A 20,926-nucleotide genomic window follows, 5' to 3' on the forward strand; every position below is an offset into this window, starting at 1 on the left:
CGTGGGGTCAACATTCCCATTATGGCGACGACATATGTCCACGGCACCAACTTGTCACTTGGCCTGAGTCCATGGGAAGCCGGAAGGACAAAAAGCATCTGAAACGTGTAAGTGGGGAGAAAGCGGCTTAGCGCACAGTGGGATGCGTCCCGCCTGAATGGGGCTTCTCCGCCTCTCACGGGGAGGCAGAGCCTGGGAACAGCCTCGTCCAGAGCCCGCAGGGCCTTTTTGGAACCCACGAAAGGCCATGGCCCAGGGAGTCTGTTCGAGTCAGGGCTCTGGCCGGTACATCCTCTTGCCTGTCTCCGTCAGCGTCAGCTGTCACTCCCCACGGCCTCAGATGGCAGCTCCCGCAGCTCTCGGGAGAACAGTGGAAAAGGGCTCCTGAGCTGCCAAGGAGCCCCTGACACTGGGTGCCCCTGGCTGGCCCGGAAGCACAGCCATGCCAGCAAAGCTCAGGACTCCCTCTGACCAGCCCCTTCTGGAGTTGAAAGGGTGATGAGGCTGGGCCCCTTGGCCTGAGGCCAGGAGAGGGAGGAGATATCGGGGGAAAGACCCTGAACTTTGTAGACTTGCAGAACTGTGTTCAAATCCTAGTCTTTCCACTCACTGGCGGTGTCAGGGGCAAACCATTTCACCCTCTTCAGCTTTAGCTTCTCATCTGTAAAGTGAGGATACTGTCACCTACCCCATGGTGTTGTTTGAGGAATTAAAAGAGCTAATGTATTTTTTTAAAGCAGTTGTTTTACCAAGCCTCTCTCATCCTCAGTATCTCAGCCACTCAAAGGCAATAATAATAGTAGTAATAATACCAGCAGCAACTAGCATGTATTAAGGACTTGCTAAGGAGCAGGCACTGGGCTTAGGTATTATTGTTAGCTGAATCCTACAGATGAAAAAATTAAGGCTTAGAGAAGGCATTCATGTACCCATGGCCATTTGGCCAGTAATGGTAGAGCTAGGATCCAAGCTTAGGCGTCTGGCTCCAAGATAAATGGAGAAAGAGCTGATTTCTTTTCTTTTTCACATTTCAAACATACAGAGAGGTTGAAAGCAGAGTAAAACACCTGTCTAGCCTTCACCTAGATTCAACAATCATCAACATGTTTACCACATTTGCTCTCCTGTGTGTTCTCACTCCCTCTGCTCCCCTTTCCCCCTTGCATGTGTGTGTGTGTGTGCGTGTGTAATGTAGAGATATATATTTTTTCTGAACCATTTGTACATAATTTGCATACATGGACAGAGAACTAACATTTACTGATAATTGACTCGTGTTGTCTAAGGCCAGCTCTCTAACCCCTGTTTTAGATCACTTTGCCTGGCACACAGTAGGACTTGAGTATTGGCAGCGACCAGGAAGAGTAACTGGTCTTACCCGCAGCTTACCAAGTACTCCCCCTATATTAGCTGCTTCTGTCCTCACAATGGCCTGGCATAGAGCTCTTGGTGTTTTCTTCATTTTCAGAGGAGGGAAGAAAGACTCAGAAGTTAAATAACTCGTTGCAAAATAAGAAGTTGGGATTTATACCTGGGTTTGCTTGGCAGCAAAGCCTGTTTCACAAAATCTTAGGGCACCCACTTTTCTCCCCCTCCTGGGTTTAACCCTATTGTAGCCATCAGAGCACAGCCCAGAGCAGCAGATGGCAGCTTCCCACCCAGCTGCCGCAGGACATGGCCCTTTCTCTCTAGGAATCAAGGGGGAATTATAGAGTCCGGTGGACTTGGAAAAACTGGGGACTGGCCCAGGGATCACAGCTAACCAAGTAGTTTTGAGGACTCAAGGCTTTGGGCTCCTAGAATCCACCATACTGTTTCATGTTGCTCCTCCCTCTCCTCCTTGCCTGGGTACCCTTTTCACCATCTCTCCCTGGTCAGTTCTTGCTACCTGTTAAGATGAAGCTTGAGCATCTCTTCCTGTGTGAAACCTGCTCTGATCCCTCTCACTGGCCCCTCCCCCTTCTGCTCTTGGTGGCATCTGTGTCCTTGGTGTCACCTTGCACGCAGCCCTTTTATATTGCCTAGGTTATGCCATACCATGTATAGGTTTCTCCCCCACCATACTGGGAGATTCTCATCCATGCTGGTTGGGTAGTGTACAGTTAGACGGTTGGATGAGCAGCTCAGCTGTTGGATGAGTGGATGAGTTATTGATGGTTAGATGGATAAGTGGCTGGATAGATAAAGGATAAGTGCATGGATTGGATGGTTGGGTGAATGACGGGCAGGTTGATGGTGAGGTAGATTGTTGAGTGGTTGATGGTTGGCTGGCTGGCTGGATAGATGGAGAGGTAGATAGATAGGTAACAGGTTGGTTTCATGAGTAGAGGGACAATGGCAGGATGATTGCCTGTTTTGGATAGTTGGTTGGATAAATCGATGAAATCAATGGATAAATAAACAAACACCAAAAACCAGAGTGCATTTCTCCCCCCGAGACTCCCTTTTGTATCTGGACTGTGACATTTCCTCATTTTCCAGTTTCTGGCCCTGGAAAGAGCTAGCAAACAGCACACTCCCCAGGTTTGGAGAAACCTTCTGAGCCATTGACTATGGATTTGCCAAGGTTTTTGCACTGGGGAGTTCTGGAGAAGCTGGCCCCCAAAGTGAATTTCTGTAAAGTAAATCCTATTTTCCCATTGACTTGGCCCACACTTTTGGAGATATGTTCCTGCTGTCAAAGGCTGGTGACAGGTGGGGGAAGAGCTGGAACTCCCCTGGGTGTCAGCTGCCCCGAGCTTCTACTCATTCCACCTTGAGAGCAGACTGATGCTGGCCAGGAGCACAGGAGCTTAGAGCCAGGGGGAGATGCAACAGCAGGGGAAGAGATTTGGCATCTGGTCCCAGAAGCCTCTGCTGCCAGTGGGATGCTCTGCTGCTAGGCTTCTGGGATAGCACACTCCGTCTCCTCCAGACTGATCTGTTTCTGTTCATCTGTCCGTACATCCTTCCTTCTCACAATCCCACCCTCCCTCCTTCATCCATCCATCTGTCCATCCATTCAGCAATCATTTTTGAAAGACTCTAGGATGCTAGGGGACATAGAGGGAAATTAAAGAGAATCAATGTTCTGATGGCAAAGAATTATATCCCAGTAGAGGTGATAGGCAAGGCCTCCTTCCTCCTTTTTCTCCTTCTCCTACTCCATTGCTTTTTCCTCTTCATCCTCCTCTACCTCTTCTTTCTTTTCTGCTCTTTCTTCTTCTTTTCTTCTTCCCTCATCAATATCATGATCATAGCAGCCTCCACCGTTAAGTCCCCACTAAGTGCCAGGCACCATCCTAGGTGAGATTCTGACATACTCTAATTTATCTCAACAACCCTGCATAATAGTTTCTTTTTCTTTTTTTTTCTTTTTTTTTTTTATGAGACGGAGTCTCGTTCTGTCACCCAGGCTGGAGTGCAGTGGCATGATCTTGGCTCACTGCAACCTCCACCTCCCAGGTTCAAGCGATTCTCCTGCCTCAGTCTCCTGAGTAGCTGGGATTTCAGGCGTGCACCACCACACCCGGCTAATTTTTTATATTTTTAGTAGAGATGGAGTTTCACCATGTTGGCCAGGCTGGTCTTGAACTCCTGACTTCAAGTGATCTGCCCGCCTCAGCCTCCCAAAGTGCTGGGATTACAGGTGTGAGCTACCATGCCCAGCCCGTAATAGTTAATAATGCTCATTTTGCAGGTAAAAAAGCAGGCTCTGAGATGTTTAGTGATATACCCAAGGTCACACTTTTTAGTACATACTTGTGTATGAGATGGAATGTGTTGAGTGCGGAGGGGAAAGTCCTCCAGCCTGTGCCGTCAGGATGGCATTATTTAGTAGGTAGGATTTTGATACATAGTAGATGGAAAGAAGGGCATTCTTAGCAGGGGGAACAGCCTAGGCAAAGGCCTAGAGGCTGGAAAGGGGTAGGTTTGTATGAGCCATGGTGAACCAAAGTGTGAGAAAGAAATGGCAGGAGAGGTTTGAGTCCGTTAAGAGAAGCCTTGAGTGATGAGCTATGGCTGACATTGGAAGCAGTAGGAAGCCACTGAAAGAAATCAAAAGGAGGGAAAGGTTCAGGAAGATGGCCATGAAGCCTGGCATGGGAGGAGGATCCAGAGCAGGGAGAGGCAAGCTGGAGGCCAGGAGGGGCTATATGGGCCTAGCCTCCATTAAGCCAGACCCTGGGTGTGGCTATTTCTGCCCAGCCAGCTACTCCAGCAGTTGGGAGAGGCCAGGACATAGCCCACATCCTTGGTGGATGGGCCACAATGGCAGGGACAAGGGCAGAGTGAACGAGTTAGGGCAGAGCAGCTGCCTGCCTGCCTTCTCCCCTCACTGAAGCCCCACAGCTCCCAGGGGGCTCCTCCGCATCCTGTCCCACCCTGCCCACTTCACTCCTTGAGCCAGGGAATGGTTGCCAGTACCTTGCTGGGCCTCAGCTCTTCCATCGAGCCTGGACAACCCAAGCAGCACCCTGAGAACCATCCCAGAATATGCAGAGTGTCAGAGCTGGACATATGGGGAAGCTGAGGCCCAGAAGGGGACAGCTAGTTGCCTGAGGACACACAGAGATAGTGGCACGGCTGGAACTTGGGGCTAGATCTATAGCATAAAACTCCTTCCAAGGGAGATAAGTTGGTGTCTCCCTTTTCTAGCTGTGGAGGCTTGAACATATTTTCTTTTCTTTTCTTTTTTCCTCTCCTGTCTTTGCCTATGTTTTCTTTTCTTTAAAAAAAAAAAACAAAAAAAAAAAAAACTTTTTTTTTTAATGGAGATGGGGTCTCCTCTGTATTGCCCAGGCTGGTCTTGAACTCCTGGGCTCAAGCAATCCTCCTGCCCCAGCCTCCCAAAATGCTGGGATTACAGGTGTGAGCCACTGTACCTGGCTGAGACTCAGACATAGTATTTAACATCTGCCTCTAGCCCTCTTGAGAGTAAGGTGGAATAAAAATAAATAGCCTTTAAAAAATGTCTTAACCACTCTGAACCTCAGTTTACCCGGCTGTAAAATGGGGATAATAATAATAAATAAAACATTATTTAGTCATCATTTTTCCTATCACCTCCCTGTAAGAATGTAAACTTCACAAAGGCAGGGATTTTTTTATCTCTTTTGTTTACAAATGCTCAGCATGGCACCTAGGACTTAGCAGGTGCTCAGTAAAAAATTACTGAATGAATGAATGAATGAATAAGGAATACATATGATTTACGGGTTCCTCACAATGTGCCTGGCACTGCAGAAAATGCTTTCCATGCAGAATCCTGTTTAATCCTTAGAACAATCCTGAGGTGTGGAATTGGTATGATTATCTCCACTTTGCAGAGGAGGAAACTGAGCCTCAGAGAGATTACACATGACTTACTCGTGGTCACACAGTTCCTGGGTGATGGAACTGGGATAGAAGCCCTGCTTTGTGGGGCCCCACAGCCTGCAGGGCTGCACAGCTGCTGCAGAGCCAGGTGAGTGCTTCTGGGAACTATTGTGGGGCCTGGCATGAAGTAGGTGCTGGATAGACCATGTCTCTTACCCTAATCCCCCCATTCCCCTTTTCTGGACTTCAGTTTTCCCACCTGGAAGGTTCCAGGGCTGGCCTCTGACCTTTTCACGGTCCTCCCACATGGACTGATCACACTAGGGATGATCTTCCCATGGCCGACAACTCTAAGGCCCGTTGTCCTGCCTGATCATGACCCCCAATCCCGAAGGGAAAAGGCCTCTGGAGGTGTCTCAATGCTCACTTCCCCTCTGGGACCTCAGCACCTCTGTGGTCTCATCACTTGCTTCCTTAGGGGCCCTGAATTGGCCTCCTTGCAAATCCGCCTGCATGACAGCTCCCAGTGGCCTGCGGGAGGAGTGTTTTCTCGGCTCCCTGACGGCATCTGTCCCAAGGTGCGAGGTTCCAGCTGCACGCGGCGGGCCAGGCTGCCGTTCTGTCTGGAGCGCTGCGTGGAGAAACAAACACAGCTGTGTTTATTCCAGAAATTACACATCCTGATAATCTGCTCACTCGGGGTAATGCCTCCCAGTTAGGATCACAGGGGGAGCTACACCAAGGTTCCTGAACTTCTGGGCAGGTTGTAATTCTCTGTGACATCTGTGCTGTTGGGCAGACCTTGGGCAGCAAGTAGACCTCAGCCAGTGGGCACCCAGCAGCTTTGGAATGCCCCATTCCGAGGGGTGTGGACATTCTCACCTGGGCATGAGATGCTGGAAGGAGATGACCTTTTGTCTTGAAATCTCCAAATTAGGATTTCAAGCCTGACACCCTGGCCCATAGCCACACTGGGAGACAGAAACACACAGACCTATATTAGGAGAACATGACCCAGAATTGGATCATGAATCAAGTCATGTTGTTGCTCCAGAGCATTTCCACAACTCCCTGTTGCTTTTGGGTCACTCTTCCTTGGCCCATAGGCCCTGTGCGGCCTGCTTCCTGCCTACTCTGCCTAATTTCCATCACCCACCTCAGTCTAGGGGTTCTAGCCACTCTGGCCTTTCAGTTCCTTGCAATTCCTAGACTCTTCCCACCACAGGGCCTTTGCACTGCTTGGTCCCTTTAGCTGGAATGCTGTTCCCTTATCCTTGGATAACTCTCACCCATCCTCCATGTTTTCAAGGAAGTGTTCCCAGAGCATAGCTCCATGGGCCAATCTTTTGCTGCATTTGTCAACATCATAATTTTAAAATAATTAATGTGTTTCTTTGAACATCTCTACCTCTCCTACCAGACCGTCAACTTTACAAGGGCAGGGACCATGATCCAATTGCTTCATCACTTAGATTCCCTGGGCCTAGCATAGCGCCCAGCCCCTAGTAAGTGCTCAACTGATATATATTGATTGGAAGAATGAATGAATGAATGCACGGCTCTCAGATGACTGAAAGGAGGATATGCTTCTGTTTGTTCTTTTGGGTGACAGTTGGCAGAGTGCTGTGACATCCATCATCTCCCTTTAATTGAACGGAGTGGGATTGAAGTCTGCAGGGGCTTGGCACAGGGCCAGGCCCCAGGGTGGGGGTGTGGGATCCGAGGTGAATTAGGCATCATGGGCCTGGCCTTGGGGAGCTCACACACTGGCTGTGCACAGCCCCCTGGGAGGAAGGTCCCACTGGTATTGTTCTCCTGGATGGACAGATGAGGCTTCTAATACTCAGAGCCAGGGGCGGAGGCGGGGGTGGCTTGATGAGGCCACACAGCTAGTCAGTGGGACAGACGTGCACTCAGATCCAACGGATATCAAGCCAGGTGGCCCTTCCCCCACTTCTTGTGGGCACTTGGGTGGGAGGTGTCAGGGATCCCTGGCCTTTGGGGGTCTTGACATCCCAAGCTCTTACCAGCCATGTGGCTGTGGACAAGTTGCAGGGGGCAGCATGGATTGTCCTGCCCTATGGAGGTTTTATTCTAATGGACAGGACTGATGCCAGATATCTAGTGAGTAGCTTAAGTAGGGATGGTGCTAAGAAGAAAACTGCTGCAGAGATGGGAGGGCCAGCGAGAGGAGGGATCAGGAAGGCCTTTCTGAGGAGGTGACGTTTGAGCAGAGGCCAGAAGGAAGCAAGAGAGGGGGTTCAGGGATATCTGGGGGAGGGTGTTTCAGGCAGTGAGGAGAGCTGGGCAAAGGCCCTGTGACAGGGGTGTGCAAGGCAGCCAGCGTGGCTGGAGCGGGAGGGCCAGGGGAGAATGGGAGCAGGTGACACAGAGGGACCAGCCATGGCAGGACTTTGGCTTCTACCTGGAGTGAGATGGGAGCGGTGCAGGGCTTTGAGGAGGTGGCAGGATCTAACCTGGGTTCAGAAAGCACCACTCTGTCTTAAGAGGCCAGAGAGTGAGGGACAGAGCAGGGGACAGGAAGAACCATCACAGAGTCCAGGCACGAGACGGTGGTGGCTGGACCAAGCGGGCAGTGGTGGGGAGTTGTCAGTAAGTGGCCCTGGTTTTGCTCCCCAGGCTGCCTCACATAGTTTGGGGGATCCAGAGGGGGCGGAGAGAAAATGGACCTTAAATGTCTTCTCCCTCTGGCCTGCCCCCACTCACCCCAGGAGGCTCTGTTGGCATTTTTGGCATGGAAACATATGTCTCTTTCTTTCTAATGTAAATTGATAATGTATTGACAATGCGATCTCCTGGCAGCCAGGTTGGTGACTCTAGCATGTGCTAGATCATTCTGGCGGGGGGAATGGAGGGCAGAGGGACAGAGAAGAGCCTGGCCCGGGCCCAAATCCACCCCCATCAGGACTTGCTGAGCGACTGTGCACAAGGCCCCTTCCCTCTTTTGAGCTGGGGGCTGCACTGGGGGATTAGCGGACCACCGAGGGGCTCTGCAGTCACACCAGTTGGGTTCATGTCCTGGCACCAGCTCTTACTAGGTGTGACTGTGGACAAGTTGCTTCACTTCTTGGAACCTCAGTTTCCTTATCTGTCAAATGGAGAGGGTAATAGTCCTTACCTTAGTAGGTGGCTGAGACATAGTAAGTTCTCAACAAATAACCATCATCGGCTAGGCGCGGTGGCTCATGCCTGTAATCCCAGCACTTTGGGAGGCCGAGGCAGGCAGATCACGAGGTCAGGAGTTCAAGACCAGCCTGGCCAACAGCCTGTCAAACCCCATCTCTACTAAAATTATACAAATTAGCCAGGCGTGGTGGCGCGCATCTGTAATCCCAGCTACTCTGGAGGCTGAGGCAGGAGAATCGCTTGAACCCGGGAAGTGGAGGTTGCAGTGAGCCAAGATCACGCCACTGCACCCCAGCCTGGGCAACAGAGCAAGATTCCATCTCAAACAAAACAAAACAACAACAACAAAATCATCACTGTGTAGAAGCCAGGGCACAGAAGCCAGGGCCGGAATGCTTTTGTGCGGCCTGTGCCCCAGTCTTCATCCCACCCAAGAGGAATTTGCCTGGTCTTTGGAAGGATCTCTTGGGTCTCAGGACTTGCAGAACTTCAGCAGCAGCTGCCCTGGAAGGCAGCCCCCTCTAGCGGAGGAGATTCAGCTCTGGGCCATACAGACCATTTACAGGCTGTGTGACCTCAGCTTGGGAGCACAACCTTCCTGAGCTCCAGAGGTGATGAGCTCCCCTTATCTGTGCAGTGGGAATTAGAGGGCCTGCCTCCCAGAGTGAGGATGACATAAGAACCCACTTGGAAAGGGCTTAGAGGGTGGGGCTCTATGAATTCTGGCTCCCTTCTGCCCAGATGTGTGGGCCAACTGGCTCCCAGGAGTGGGAGCCAAGAGCTGCGGGGGCCTGGGAAAGGTGAGGGGGCCAGAGAAGGTGGGGGTGGAAACCTGGAGGCAGAGGCAGCAGGGTTTGGGGAAGCGCGTGGGGGGCCGGAGGGCGGCTCTAACTCTTCTCTCTAATTTTTGAGAAAATCTTTACCCCATCTTCATATAATTAAGAGTATTTTTAAAATGCCTTGTTGAAATAAAAATAGTCCATTTCCATATGACCTCATTTCATTCCACACCCTCAGTGCGCGTGTGCACACAGATATACACACGCACACGAATGTCTAGATTTTTAAAGCTGCCTTTTGTGCCTCTGCTGAAGGGGTTCTTATTTTTGCCTAGCAGGTAAATATTTAGGGACTGCCCCCCGGCCCCGCTTTATTTTCTGATTTGCAATTGGAGGCCCTCTAAGGTCCATTAACAGCAGCTGACACTGTGCGGCTCTGCAGCTTACAAGGCGCGCTCACATTGATATCTCCATTGCTCCTCCTGCGTTCCTGGGCGGGGGTGTCACCATGACCCATCACTTAGAGATAGGACCATCTTTTTACCAGCAGCATCTAGTCCAGACCTGGCACATCACACACAAAAAATCAGCTAGTGTCTGTTGAATACAGATGAAGAATGAGACGCATAACACAGATGAAGAAATTGAGGCTCAAAGAGATGAAAGGATTTGCCCAAGTGGATTTTTTCCTGAGTTTTAATCCAGGACTGTCCAGACTCTCTGTATGTTCCCCCTCCTAGGCTGCCTTTCTTTCTTTCTTTCTTTCTTTTTTTTTGGAGTTTCGCTCTTGTCGCCCAGACTGGAATGCAATGGCGTAGTCTTGGCTCACTGCAACCTCTGCCTCCCCAGTTCAAGCGATTCTCCTGCCTCAGCCTCCTGAGTAGCTGGGATTACAGGTGCCTGCCACCACGCCTGGCTGATTTTTGTATTTTTAGTAGAGACGGGGTTTCACCGTGTTGGCCAGGCTGGTCTCAAACTTCTGACCTCAGGTGATTTGCCCACCTCAGCCTTCCAAAGTGCTGGGATTGCAGGCGTGAACCACTGTGGCTGGCCCAGGCTGCCTTTCTAACCAGCCTCTTTATTTTCAGATGGGGAAACCAAGACCCAAAGAGGATAAGGACCTGTGCAAAGTCACACAGTGATGAGTGATGATATGAATGATGAAAATATTAGCGTTATACAATTTTAACATTCATGTTAACAGTCATTTTAAAGGATTGATTTTACGGAGTAGTTTTGCACGGTGGAAATCAGCATATACCATGGCCTTATTATGTGCCATGTTGCCATGCTGAATCCACCACTGTGAGGCAGGATTATTATTATTTTTGTTTTAGAGGAAAACTGAATCTCTGAGAGGTTCAGTAAATTGCCCAAGGCCACATAGCCAGTAAGGGGCGGAAATGGGATTTGAACCCGCGATTCTCTAAGTCCAAAGCCCATGCTCATGACACGCTACTACATCAGGCTGGTATGATTTGGTGGGGACAGAGCTAGAAGTTGAACCCGGGACTGGATTCTTGGCCTGGTATGATTTGGTGGGGACAGAGCTAGAAGTTGAACCCGGGACTGGATTCTTGACCTGGTATGATTTGGTGGGGACGGAGCTAGAAGTTGAACCTGGGACTGGATTCTTGGCCTGGTGTGATTTGGTGGGGACAGAGCTAGAAGTTGAACCTGGGACTGGATTCTTGGCCTCCTGATCCCCAAAAACAAAACCCCAGCCCAGAGGCCGCAGGAGTGGCCCTGTCAGGAGCTTCTCAGTCAAGGACAGAGCTCTGCCCTGGGCCTCCCACCCAGGGCCAGCCTGGGCTTGGGCAGGGGGCTCATGTCTCTATCAGGCCTCACTGTGAGGGGGCTTTGGAGCAGCTGCCTCTGTGGCCCAGCCTGCATGCAGGCAGCTGGTCCTGGCTGCCTCTTTAGCAGGAGCAGGATAAATCTTACCCCCCGGCACAGCCCATGCACAGCCCAGTGTGGTTCACAGCATCCTTTCCCCTCCACAGTCTCACCTGAGCTTCACAACATCCTTGTGAGACAGTTAGGGTAGGGCTCCCCAGTCTTCATGCAGAGAAACCAAAGCCCAGAGATATATACACTCAATAAAGTACCACCAGAATGTCAATATTCTTTTTTTTTTTTTTTTTGAGACTGAGTTTCGCTCTATTGCCCAAGCTGAAGTGCAGTGGCGCAATCTCTGCTCACTGCAACCTCTGCCTCCTGGGTTCAAGCGATTCTTGTGCCTCAGCCTCCCGAATAGCTGGGATTACAGGTGTGCACCACTGCGCCCGACTAATTTTTGTATTTTTAGTAGAGATGGGGTTTCACCATGTTGGCCAGGCTGGTCTCTAACTCCTGACCTCAGGCATCTGCCTGCCTCAGCCTCCCAAAGCACTGGGATTTACAGGCATGAGCTACCACTCCCGGCCTGAATGTCAGTATTATTTTGCTGTGGTTCTTAATTTCTTTGGGGTCCTGAAGATCCTTGAGAAGCTGCCACAGGCTATGAACTGCCCCCTCCTAGAAAGTTGGAGACACACAGATACTTTTATGAAAAAATTCAGGGGACTTACAGATTACAAGCCTCTGTTGTGTTGCTCCATGGTACTGATGATAATGAATACAACTTTGTTTTATTGAGCCTCTGCTTTGTGCTGGGCAGGGTGTTTGATGGTTTACATACATTATCTCAGAACACCCCTGCAGGGTAGGAGACTGAGGCTCAAGGGAGGGTGACACTGACTAAGGCTGCACAGCAGGGCTATGAACCTGCTCTACCGACTCCTGTGGCCTGTGGGGCATGGTGTGGGAGCATCTTCCTGAGGCTGCTGTTAAGAACAAGGACCTTTGCTGGGTACGGTGGCTCACTCCTATAATCCCAGCACACTTTGGGAGGGTGAGGCAGGAGGGTGAGGCAGGAGGATTGCTTGAGGCCAGGAGTTCGAGACCAGCTTGGGCAACACAGTGTGACCCCATCTCTACTAAATTTTTTTTTAATTAGTCAGGCATGGTGGCATGTGCCTATAGTCCCAGCTACTTGGGAGGCTGAGGTGGGAGGATCGCTTGAGCCCAGGAGGTCAAGGCTGTAGTGAGTCATGGTCATGCCACTGCACTGCAGCCTAAACAACAGAGTGAGACCCGGTATCAAAAAAAAAAAAAGAAGAAGAAGAAGAAGCAGAAGTAGAACCAGGGCCTCTAAGGAAGTTTACAGTCCATACTTTCTGCCTTTGGAAAAGACTGCTGGCTTACCCCAGGCCTGAGAGCAGGAACAGCTACTGAGGACAGGGTTTCTAGCAACCTCTGAACTCCCAGCAGGGAGCCTCCTTCTCCCACTTCCCAGGGGTCTGATTTGAGGGCCCTGGGTAGAGCCTGTCTCAGCTCTACATGATGGGAAAGTCTGCAATTCAAGCTTGACTCATTTGGCTTAACTCATGGGAATTTGCCTTCCTTGAAATCCTCTTCCCACCCTGGGACAGCCTAATGATTCCTATAGGGCACTTGGGACGCCCTTGGCAGTGAGTCGGCCCAGAGAGCAGGACTGAGGGAGAGGGCTGGGAGGTCAGTAGGGTCACTAGACTTAGGGCAGAGCCCCTGCCTGTGCACCCCTCAGGACCGGAGCAGCCTAAGGTATCTTGTACAGTGGATAAGAGTGTGGGCTCTGAGGGACCTGGGTTCAAATCCTGGCTTACACCTACACGCTCTGTGACTTTCGATAGGCTCTTTTCCCTCTCTGAGCCTCAGTTCCCCATTAGTAAAATGAGGATGATAAATAGCACTAAGAGACATGTGGCCCTGTCCCTGGCCCAAAGGTAGTGCTCAATAAAGATGATCGTAGTGGTCATCGTTGTTGCTGTCATAAGCAGAGTCGGGGGGCTGTGGAAGAGAGCTCATCGTACACACGGGGGTCTACAGGAGGCTGCTCAGGAGACCTCCCTTTCCTCTTTGGCAAGACTGTACCTGAAAGGGGATTGGGCGAGGAGTGATAAGGCTGGTATGGGGGAACGTTTGGGGACAAGGCGGCCCCTCTTGCCTGGTTGGTGTGGGGAATGAGGCCTGGTGCTGGGCCCAGAGACGTAAAAGCCTCTCCCCTTCAACTTTCCTCCCAAATAATTCTGGAGGCTGGACAAAGAGTTCCATGGGGCCCCCCTTCCCAATGCATGAGCCGAGGCTCTGTTTAGCAGCCCCCACCCCACAGACCCGCCTCAGTCACTGTGTTGGCCAAAGCATGGTTCCCTGGGGGTGGGAAGGAGCCTGGGAGCCTCGGTGGGGCCTGCAGGCCGCGGTCTGGTTCCCAGAGGCCCTGGAGGGGGCCCCTTCACAGCTTCAGCACGAGGCCCTTTGAGGGTGGGGGCAGCCTCCGCAGCGCGGCATGTTTGCGCCGCTGACACTCTGGCAGGGTCACTGTGGATAAAGGCGCTGCCCAGACCCCGGGCCCAGCCTGCAATGGGGCTTTCTTGTCAGAGAGGAGCCTTTTTTTCCCAGCGCACTGTGGGGCGGCCGCAGGGGGTCACCCTGCCTAGGAGGATAATGGAGCTTTGGGCCAATGGAGACACAGGACTCAGCCGGCCCCCTCCCTGTCAGACCTGGGGAGGAGGGGAGACTGGGGGAGACCGATTGGCTCGGATCAGCCGCCACCTTGGCCATGGCTCTCTGGGTGGAGTCAGAAGGGAAGACACAGTGGAGAACCTGGGACTCCCCCAGGCCTCCAGGTGTCTGCGAATCCAGCCATCGGCGTGACGAGGAATCTTGGGCAAGTCATCCAGTGCTTCCGTTTCTAATCTGGCTGCCTTGTGGTTCTCAGGAGAGACCACCAGGGCCAGAGCTAGCACGGCCCTTTTTAGCTGTGCCTCCCTCTCACCCTGGCCATTCAGCTACTGCCTGCCTTTCTGTTCCTACAGCTACCACCTGACCTCAAGTCTACCCCCTGCCCCACCTGGACCATCTCAGTGACTTCTGAACCCCACAAAGCATCACCACTGAGTCTTCTAAACTGCAGCTGAGACCACATTACCCTCCTGCTCAGACCTTGGGCTCCTTATCTAAAAAAATCAAGGTCAAACAGCTGCTCGTTGACCTGGCCCCTGAGGCCTTCTCTGCCTGTCCTTGTCATCCCACAAACTCTAGGTGGATGTCATTCTCATCCATAAACTATAGGTTTCATACATACATGTTATAAACTCCCATGCCCCCAGATCTTTGTTCAGGCCCCAGCTGCTGCCTAGAATGAATGCCCTTCTTGCTTCTGCCTAGTGAACTCCTACTCATCCTTCAAGGCCCAACTCAAATGTCCCCTCCTTGGTATATCCTTCTTTGTACTTACCCTCAGCTCTTGATTAACAATTCTTATAACACCAAGGTATGGCTAATTTTGTCTACATCACCCTCCCCCATTAAACTGGAGTGTAGAGACTTTCTTGTCTTATTCATCGTTGGGCCTCCAGTGCCTAGCACAGAGTCTGTTACCAACAGGCTCTTGGGTTGATGTTTTATGAATGAGAGAATGAATGAATACATTGTCTGCCCATGAAAATAACTTCCCCCTCTATCCTAGAGGCTTTTACAACTCAGCATGACACTCCCACAAGACCTTGGAAGTAGGAGGAAATTATCATGATGCACAGGCTGTTCAGATGCCTCTGAAACTAGGTAGAACCTGGAATGAGACTGGATCTGGGTCTCAGGCCAGAACAAGGCAGCTCTTACATCAACCTAGCCTCGCAGAGGTCTTGGAGTTCATGCTCTACCTTGAGGCAAGACCTGGTCAAACCATTTAAAGATAAAAAAAATACTAACTTATCGCAGAGTTGAGAATTCTCCACTTAGGGGCTGGATGGATTCTTAGAGGCTACCTGGCCCAACCCCCTCTTTGGGGATGATTTATACAGAAGCACAGATGGCTTTGTTCACTTGGGATCCTTGTCTTAGTTTCTCTTCCTCTTTTTCCTTTGTCATTTTCTTGTTCCTTTGTATTCCTGGCTCTGTGCTTATCTGTGTTGATGGTCTTTCCAAAGCCAGGAGTGCCCAAATGTTCTAGCTCCCCAAACCCTCAAGCATGTAGTGATGATAGTCATGAGAATAACAGTTTCTATCTCCAAGCATGGCTGGGTGTCAGGTCCTATGCCAAGCTCTGCTGGTACTGTACCCATAGGAGCTTCCTAATGACCCCCTGTGGTAGGTACTGTCATTAAACCCCACATTGCAGATGAGAAAACCAAGGTTCACAGAAGCAAAGTAATTTCCCAGAAGTCATCCAGGTAGTAAATGGCAGAGCCAGGATTCAGATCTACAGATAACTTCCGTGTGCTTTCCTGTTCTAGGGCCATACTGCAATTCAATCATTCATTATCGAGCCATTCATTCAGTAGCCACTTTTGGAGCCCATGTGCTGTTATTAGTCATTGTAGCCATTTACTCATTCCTTGCATTCAACAATTGTTTACTGAGGACCAACTATGTGCCTGGGCTCTGCTGCAGAAACTTCTAGGGGAGGTGAGACCTTGAGGTTGGCATTGGCAGAGAGGAGGAAGAGAGGCATTCTCAAGCCATGATGCGGGAACCTCTAGACCAAGGTGCCCCCACAGTCCTTGAACGGTTTGGACCTGCAGCCCTGGGTCCTGTAGTCTAGCAGGTTGGGGAGGATACCAGCAGTGAGCTAGTATGCTCACTCCCAAGTCTCACCTGGCACAGTGAAGCATGCTCAGGGTTGCTTTTGTAAATCTAATATTTTATTTTATTTTTAAAAATTATGTTGTGTACTTTTTTTTAGCAACAGGGTCTTGCTTTATCACCCAGGCTGGAATACAGTGGCACAATCATAGCTCACTGCAGCCTCGAACTCCTGGGCTTAAGCAATCCTCCTATCTTGGCCTCTCCAAGTATATGGGATTACAGGCATTTGCCACCATGTCCAACTAATTCTTTTTGTTTTTTTTCTTTTTTTTGAGACAGAGTCTCACTCTGTCACCCAGGCTGGAGTGCAGTGGCATGATCTCGGCTCACTGCAACCTCCGCCTCCCAGGTTCAAGCGATTCTCGTGCCTTAGACCCCCAAGTAATAGGGACCGCAGGCGCATGCCAGCACGCCTGGCTAGTTTTTGTATTTTTAGTAGAGATGGGGGTTCACCTTGTTGGCCAGGCTGGTCTCAAATTCCTGACCTCAAGTGATCCACCTGCCTTGGCCTCCCAAAGTGCTGGGATTACAGACCTGAGCCACTGTGCCTGGCCTGTTTAGGGTTTTGGCTTCTAGACTTAGCTCTGCCACCTTTTCCATTTCACCACATCACCCCATCTCTGAGCACATTTCTGAAGTGAACTACCCAGACCTAGCTCACCTGGACAGTCCACAGCCTCAAGGAATTCATCTGTGTAAAGGGTCTGTCATGGATGATCAGACCCATCCCAGTCTGAGCATTTCTGGGGTCCCAGGCAGGTGACCCTTGGGGAGTCAGGGTGAGGAGAAGCTGGTCTGAGCCTGCGCAGCAGCCCAGAAGCTGGGAGTAGAAGGAAGCTGCCCTCCCCCACATGCCCGGCCTGGCCTGGAATCGTTCTCGGATTTGATGAGTGATTCATAACCTGACGCTGCGGAAAGTTGTGCCGGGCTGCAGAAGGGCTGCCCGGGGTTTGCGGTTTTGAACACAGAGAAGAATTCCCTCGTCGGCTCAGACTAGGATAACTTACTTGTTGAGAGAGACATTTTCACAAAATAAATCCTTAGAGAAACCAGGCGCTGAGGCAGGGAGGCCTGGTGAGGGATTATCCAAATAAACCGGTTTTGAAGCTTCGGGTCCAAACGATTTGCCTGAGCCCTTCGTTGCTTCCTTGTACTCAACCTGAGGTCCCTGGTGATCCTGAGATCTTTTTCAGTGGCACCAATGCAGCCAGGCCCTCTCCACCTGGGTGATGTCCCCATCACGTGGCATCACTGAAACCCTCTTCAACTGCGGTCACTGGGATATATTGTTCTTTTGGGGAGTGTGTCATGATCAGTCTAATCTACTGTTTTTTTCTAAATAAGGTTTCTATTCACATTTTGGGTGGGACAATTCTTCCTTTTGTGGGACTGTCCTACCCAATCAGGGTGTTTTCCACCCCTGGCTCCAGCCCATGAAATGCCAGTGGTACCCAGTATGGTCATTGTGCCCTCACAATCCTTAAAAGGTGAGACCCGTGGCCCTGGGGTCCTGCGGTCTGGCGGGCTTGGGATGGTACCTCTGTGGCATCAGCATTGAGTAAGCATGCCCTCAAGCCTTGATCATCACTGCGACAACCACAGCTGCATTTCTGAGTGCCATCTGGGGGACACCATGCCAGGCAAGACCCACTGGTCTCACCAGGGCCTCGTGTCCCACCACCCTGAGTGTCTTGCCATTCCTGGAACTCACCTGACCCTTTCAAACCTCCCTGCCTTTACTCCCACTCTTCCCTCTGCCTGGCGGCCCTTCCCCGCCCGTCTCATCCCTCCCAGAGCCCCACCCTTCTTCAGCCCCAGACCCCTCACCATCATACCGGCCCCTCCCTGCTTCCTGATGTGGGTGGCCTTGTACTCATTTCTTCAGCTTTCGGAGTGTCATTTTCCTCATCAGTAAAATAGGGAGCAGAACAGAACCTTCCTCCCCTGGCTGGGGGGCGGTCCGTGTGAAGTTCTTGGTGTCCAGTGGTGAGCATGAGCCGTCCCTGCGATGCCAAGCCTCTCCTTGCTGACGGCGGGGATTGACGATCCAGCTTATGTGCCCTGCTCCCCTCTGCCTGCCCCTTCTCCCTGTCCCCAGGTCTCCCCTGTGGTGGGGGATGCAGGTCCCGTTTTCCTATGGGGCACTGGCTTTGGAGACCACCCCTGCCCCGACCCCTGTTCTCTGATTCTATCTAAGTGCTTAATCTCTCCCCCCGACCCCTATCCTCTGATTCTATCTAAGTGCCTAATCTTTCCCAGCGGCAGCCCTGGGAGACATCTCCTCTCTCGCTATGGGGCTGCTGGGATCTGTCTTCCCAACCTGACACTTCACAAGTCTGTCCCCTCTACTTTATCCTCCCCCTAAGTAAAACTCCTTAAAACCGCGTTCCTGGAGCCGTCTGTTTTCCCTCCCCTGACGACACCTGGCTGCCTTCCTCCAGCCTGCGCCCCCTAGTCTCCCTCTTATCTAAATCCCAAGCCCTCCTGTCTCTCTTTGGGAGATAAGGGTTCCCTGCAGATTACCTTAGTTACATCCTAGGTGCTCACTGCCTGATGCATAGAATAACTCTGGCACATAGTAGGCACTTAAATATGTGTCGAGTGAGTGAAAGGACCCTGTAGCCCATCTATTCCTCCTGTTCGGAGGTTTGGAATGAGGTCTAAAAGCTCAGGGAAGGCGGGTTATATTTGCCTTGACAGCCTGGTTTTCTTCCCAGCAAAAAAAAACAAAAAAACAAAAAACCTCAGTTTCTCACGTTGGCTCTGGCTCAGTGCAATAACGAAAACAAGGGCAATAATAGTTCACCTGCGTGGAAGCTGCAAATCCCCACACACTGGGCCTGTTGTCTTACATGCCTGTCTCGGGGATGGGCTTTATTTTTCTCCCTGTTTCAGAGATGAGAAGGCCGGAGCTCAGTGTGGTTAAGACACCTGCCCCCAATGGGGAAGTGGTAGAGTCGGGACTTGAACTAGTTCTGTGTCTCCAGTGCCCATGTACTTCATTGGTACCCCACACCTCTTCTGCACCATTTTATTTTACTCATGAACTCACCCTGCTACAGATGGGAAATCTGAGGCTCGGAAAGAACAGCTTGCCCGAGGTCCCCTGGGTGAGTGGGTGGGTGGGCAGGGTCCAAGCCAGCATCCGACCCAGGCCCCTGCTCATAGGGTCCATCCACATCATCCTCCTGGCCCATATGAGCCCAGAGGCTGTGTTGGTCTGCAAAGCTCCAGGCTCGTGGTATGGACAAGCCATAGGGTCCCTGACATGAGGACCGCCCTGGCTGATGTAGAAGGATGCCCAGAGTGAGACAGGTTGGAGATAGAGAGCCCTGTCTTCTGCATTCAGGGTGGGCTGGGAACAGTTAGGAATAATGGAGGAAAGTTGGTAGAAAGGGTGGGGGCAGGGGCAAAGCTGAGAGCCGGAGCTCTGTCCAGGTTCCCAGCTCCTGGACCTCACTCAGATCAAAAGGAAAATGGGGTGAATCGACTAACTGACATTCCAGCCAGACTTCCTTCCTTCCTTCCTTCCTTTCTCTCTTTCTTCCGAGTGTCTCACTGTGTTGCTTAGGCTGGAGTGGAGTGCAATGGCTATTCGCAGAAGCAATCATAGTTCACTGCTGCAGCCTTGACCTCCTGGGCTCAAGCGATCCCCCCACCTCAGCCTCCTGAGTAGCTAGGACTAAAGGTATATGCCACCATGCCCAGCTAGTTTTTTATTTTTTGTAGAGGGGACTCACTAAGTTGCCCAGGCTGGTCTCAAACTCCTGACCTCAAGTGATCCTCCCACCTCAGCCTCCCAAGGAAAGTCAGACACCTGACTGACTTTCTTTTCTAAGTGCTTTGATGTCTTTCTGAGCAGAGAAGTTTAACCCCCAGGTTTGCTCAGGGTCCTTGTTCTGTTTCTACTTTGACATTCATTTATTATGAACTTTTTTTTTTTTCTGAGACAGGGTCTCATACTCTGTCACTCAGGTTGGAGTGCAGTGGTCTTATCATGGCTCACTGCAGCCTCAACTTCCTTGGCTCAAGCGATCCTCCCACTTCAGCCTCCTGAGTAGCTGGGACTACAGGCTTGTGCCACCACGCCCAGCTAATTTTTAAATTTTTAGTAGAGATCGAGTCTCACTATGTTGCCCAGGCTGGTCTTGAACTCCTGGGCTCAAACGGTCCTTCAACCTCAGCCTCCTGAAACAGTGGGAGTACAAGCATGAGCCCCTACACCTGGCCTAAACAAGCCTTTTTGAGTGCCAACTCTGTACTAGGCATCATGCTCTCCGGAATGTATTGGCTATTAATGGTCACAGCAACCCAGGGCTTGGTGATGCCGCCCGTACACCTGAAGGGCTGCTGACCTCCAGTACAGCTTACCAGGATCAGCTTACTTCTTGTGAGACCCAGGCTGAGGCACTTCACCTCTCTGAGCTTCAGTTTCCTCCTCTTTAAAATGGGATGGTCATCACTACTTCATAATACATTTGGGAGGATTTCTGTAAATTTAATTTTATTTTTTAATTTTATGTTTTTGAGACAGGGTCTCACTCTCTTGCCCAGGCTGGAGTGCAATGGGGTGATCTTGGCTCACTGCAACCTCCACCTCCCAAGTTCAAGTGATTCTCGTGCCTCAGCCTCCCCAAGTAGCTGGGATTATAGGCACGCACCACCACACCCAACTAATTTTTGTGTTCTTTTGTAGAGATGGGGTTTCACCACGTTGGCCAGGCTGGTCTCAAACTCCTGGCCTCAAGTGATCTCCTCACCTTGGCCTCCCTAAGTGCTGGGATTATAGGTGTGAGCCACCGTGCCCAGCCCGGGAGGATTAAAGTAGATGATAGCCCCAAAGCTCTGAGTACAGTGCCTGGCACATAGTAGGCCTCCTCGGCCACCTCTACAAATGGTAATGTCATCTGCTTCTGGACTGGGTCCCACAAGCTCTAAGTCAGGAAGCTTGATATGGCATCCGGGGCAGCAGGTAATGACGCTGTTCTTATCTGAACCCCCAAATTACAACGTAGGAGTTCTAACAAAGAGTTTAT

The 20,926-nt window shown here is 51.1% G+C and overlaps 1 protein-coding gene across 6 annotated transcripts in view, besides 3 other annotated features; it reads left to right on the forward strand.

The window, feature by feature from the left end:
- The window catches only part of EPHB2 (EPH receptor B2), a 210,663-nt gene that overhangs the window by 12,234 nt on the left and 177,503 nt on the right, over nucleotides 1-20,926 (forward strand).
- Nucleotides 219-733: an enhancer, noted in NCBI's record as "H3K4me1 hESC enhancer chr1:23049783-23050297 (GRCh37/hg19 assembly coordinates)". NCBI's record gives its function as "activates a minimal SCP1, AML or CMV promoter by ChIP-STARR-seq in naive H9 embryonic stem cells {active_cell/tissue: H9 hESC(naive)}" and the evidence as "EXISTENCE:reporter gene assay evidence [ECO:0000049][PMID:30033119]".
- Nucleotides 13,658-14,219: an enhancer, noted in NCBI's record as "H3K4me1 hESC enhancer chr1:23063222-23063783 (GRCh37/hg19 assembly coordinates)". NCBI's record gives its function as "activates a minimal SCP1, AML or CMV promoter by ChIP-STARR-seq in naive H9 embryonic stem cells {active_cell/tissue: H9 hESC(naive)}" and the evidence as "EXISTENCE:reporter gene assay evidence [ECO:0000049][PMID:30033119]".
- Nucleotides 16,700-16,870: a silencer, noted in NCBI's record as "fragment chr1:23066264-23066434 (GRCh37/hg19 assembly coordinates)". NCBI's record gives its function as "represses an EF-1alpha promoter that drives an FKBP-Casp9 reporter gene in an ReSE screen in K562 erythroleukemia cells {active_cell/tissue: K562}" and the evidence as "EXISTENCE:reporter gene assay evidence [ECO:0000049][PMID:32094911]".

The sequence above is a fragment of the Homo sapiens genome, chromosome 1, assembly GCF_000001405.40.
Source record: "Homo sapiens chromosome 1, GRCh38.p14 Primary Assembly".
Lineage (NCBI taxonomy): Eukaryota > Metazoa > Chordata > Mammalia > Primates > Hominidae > Homo > Homo sapiens.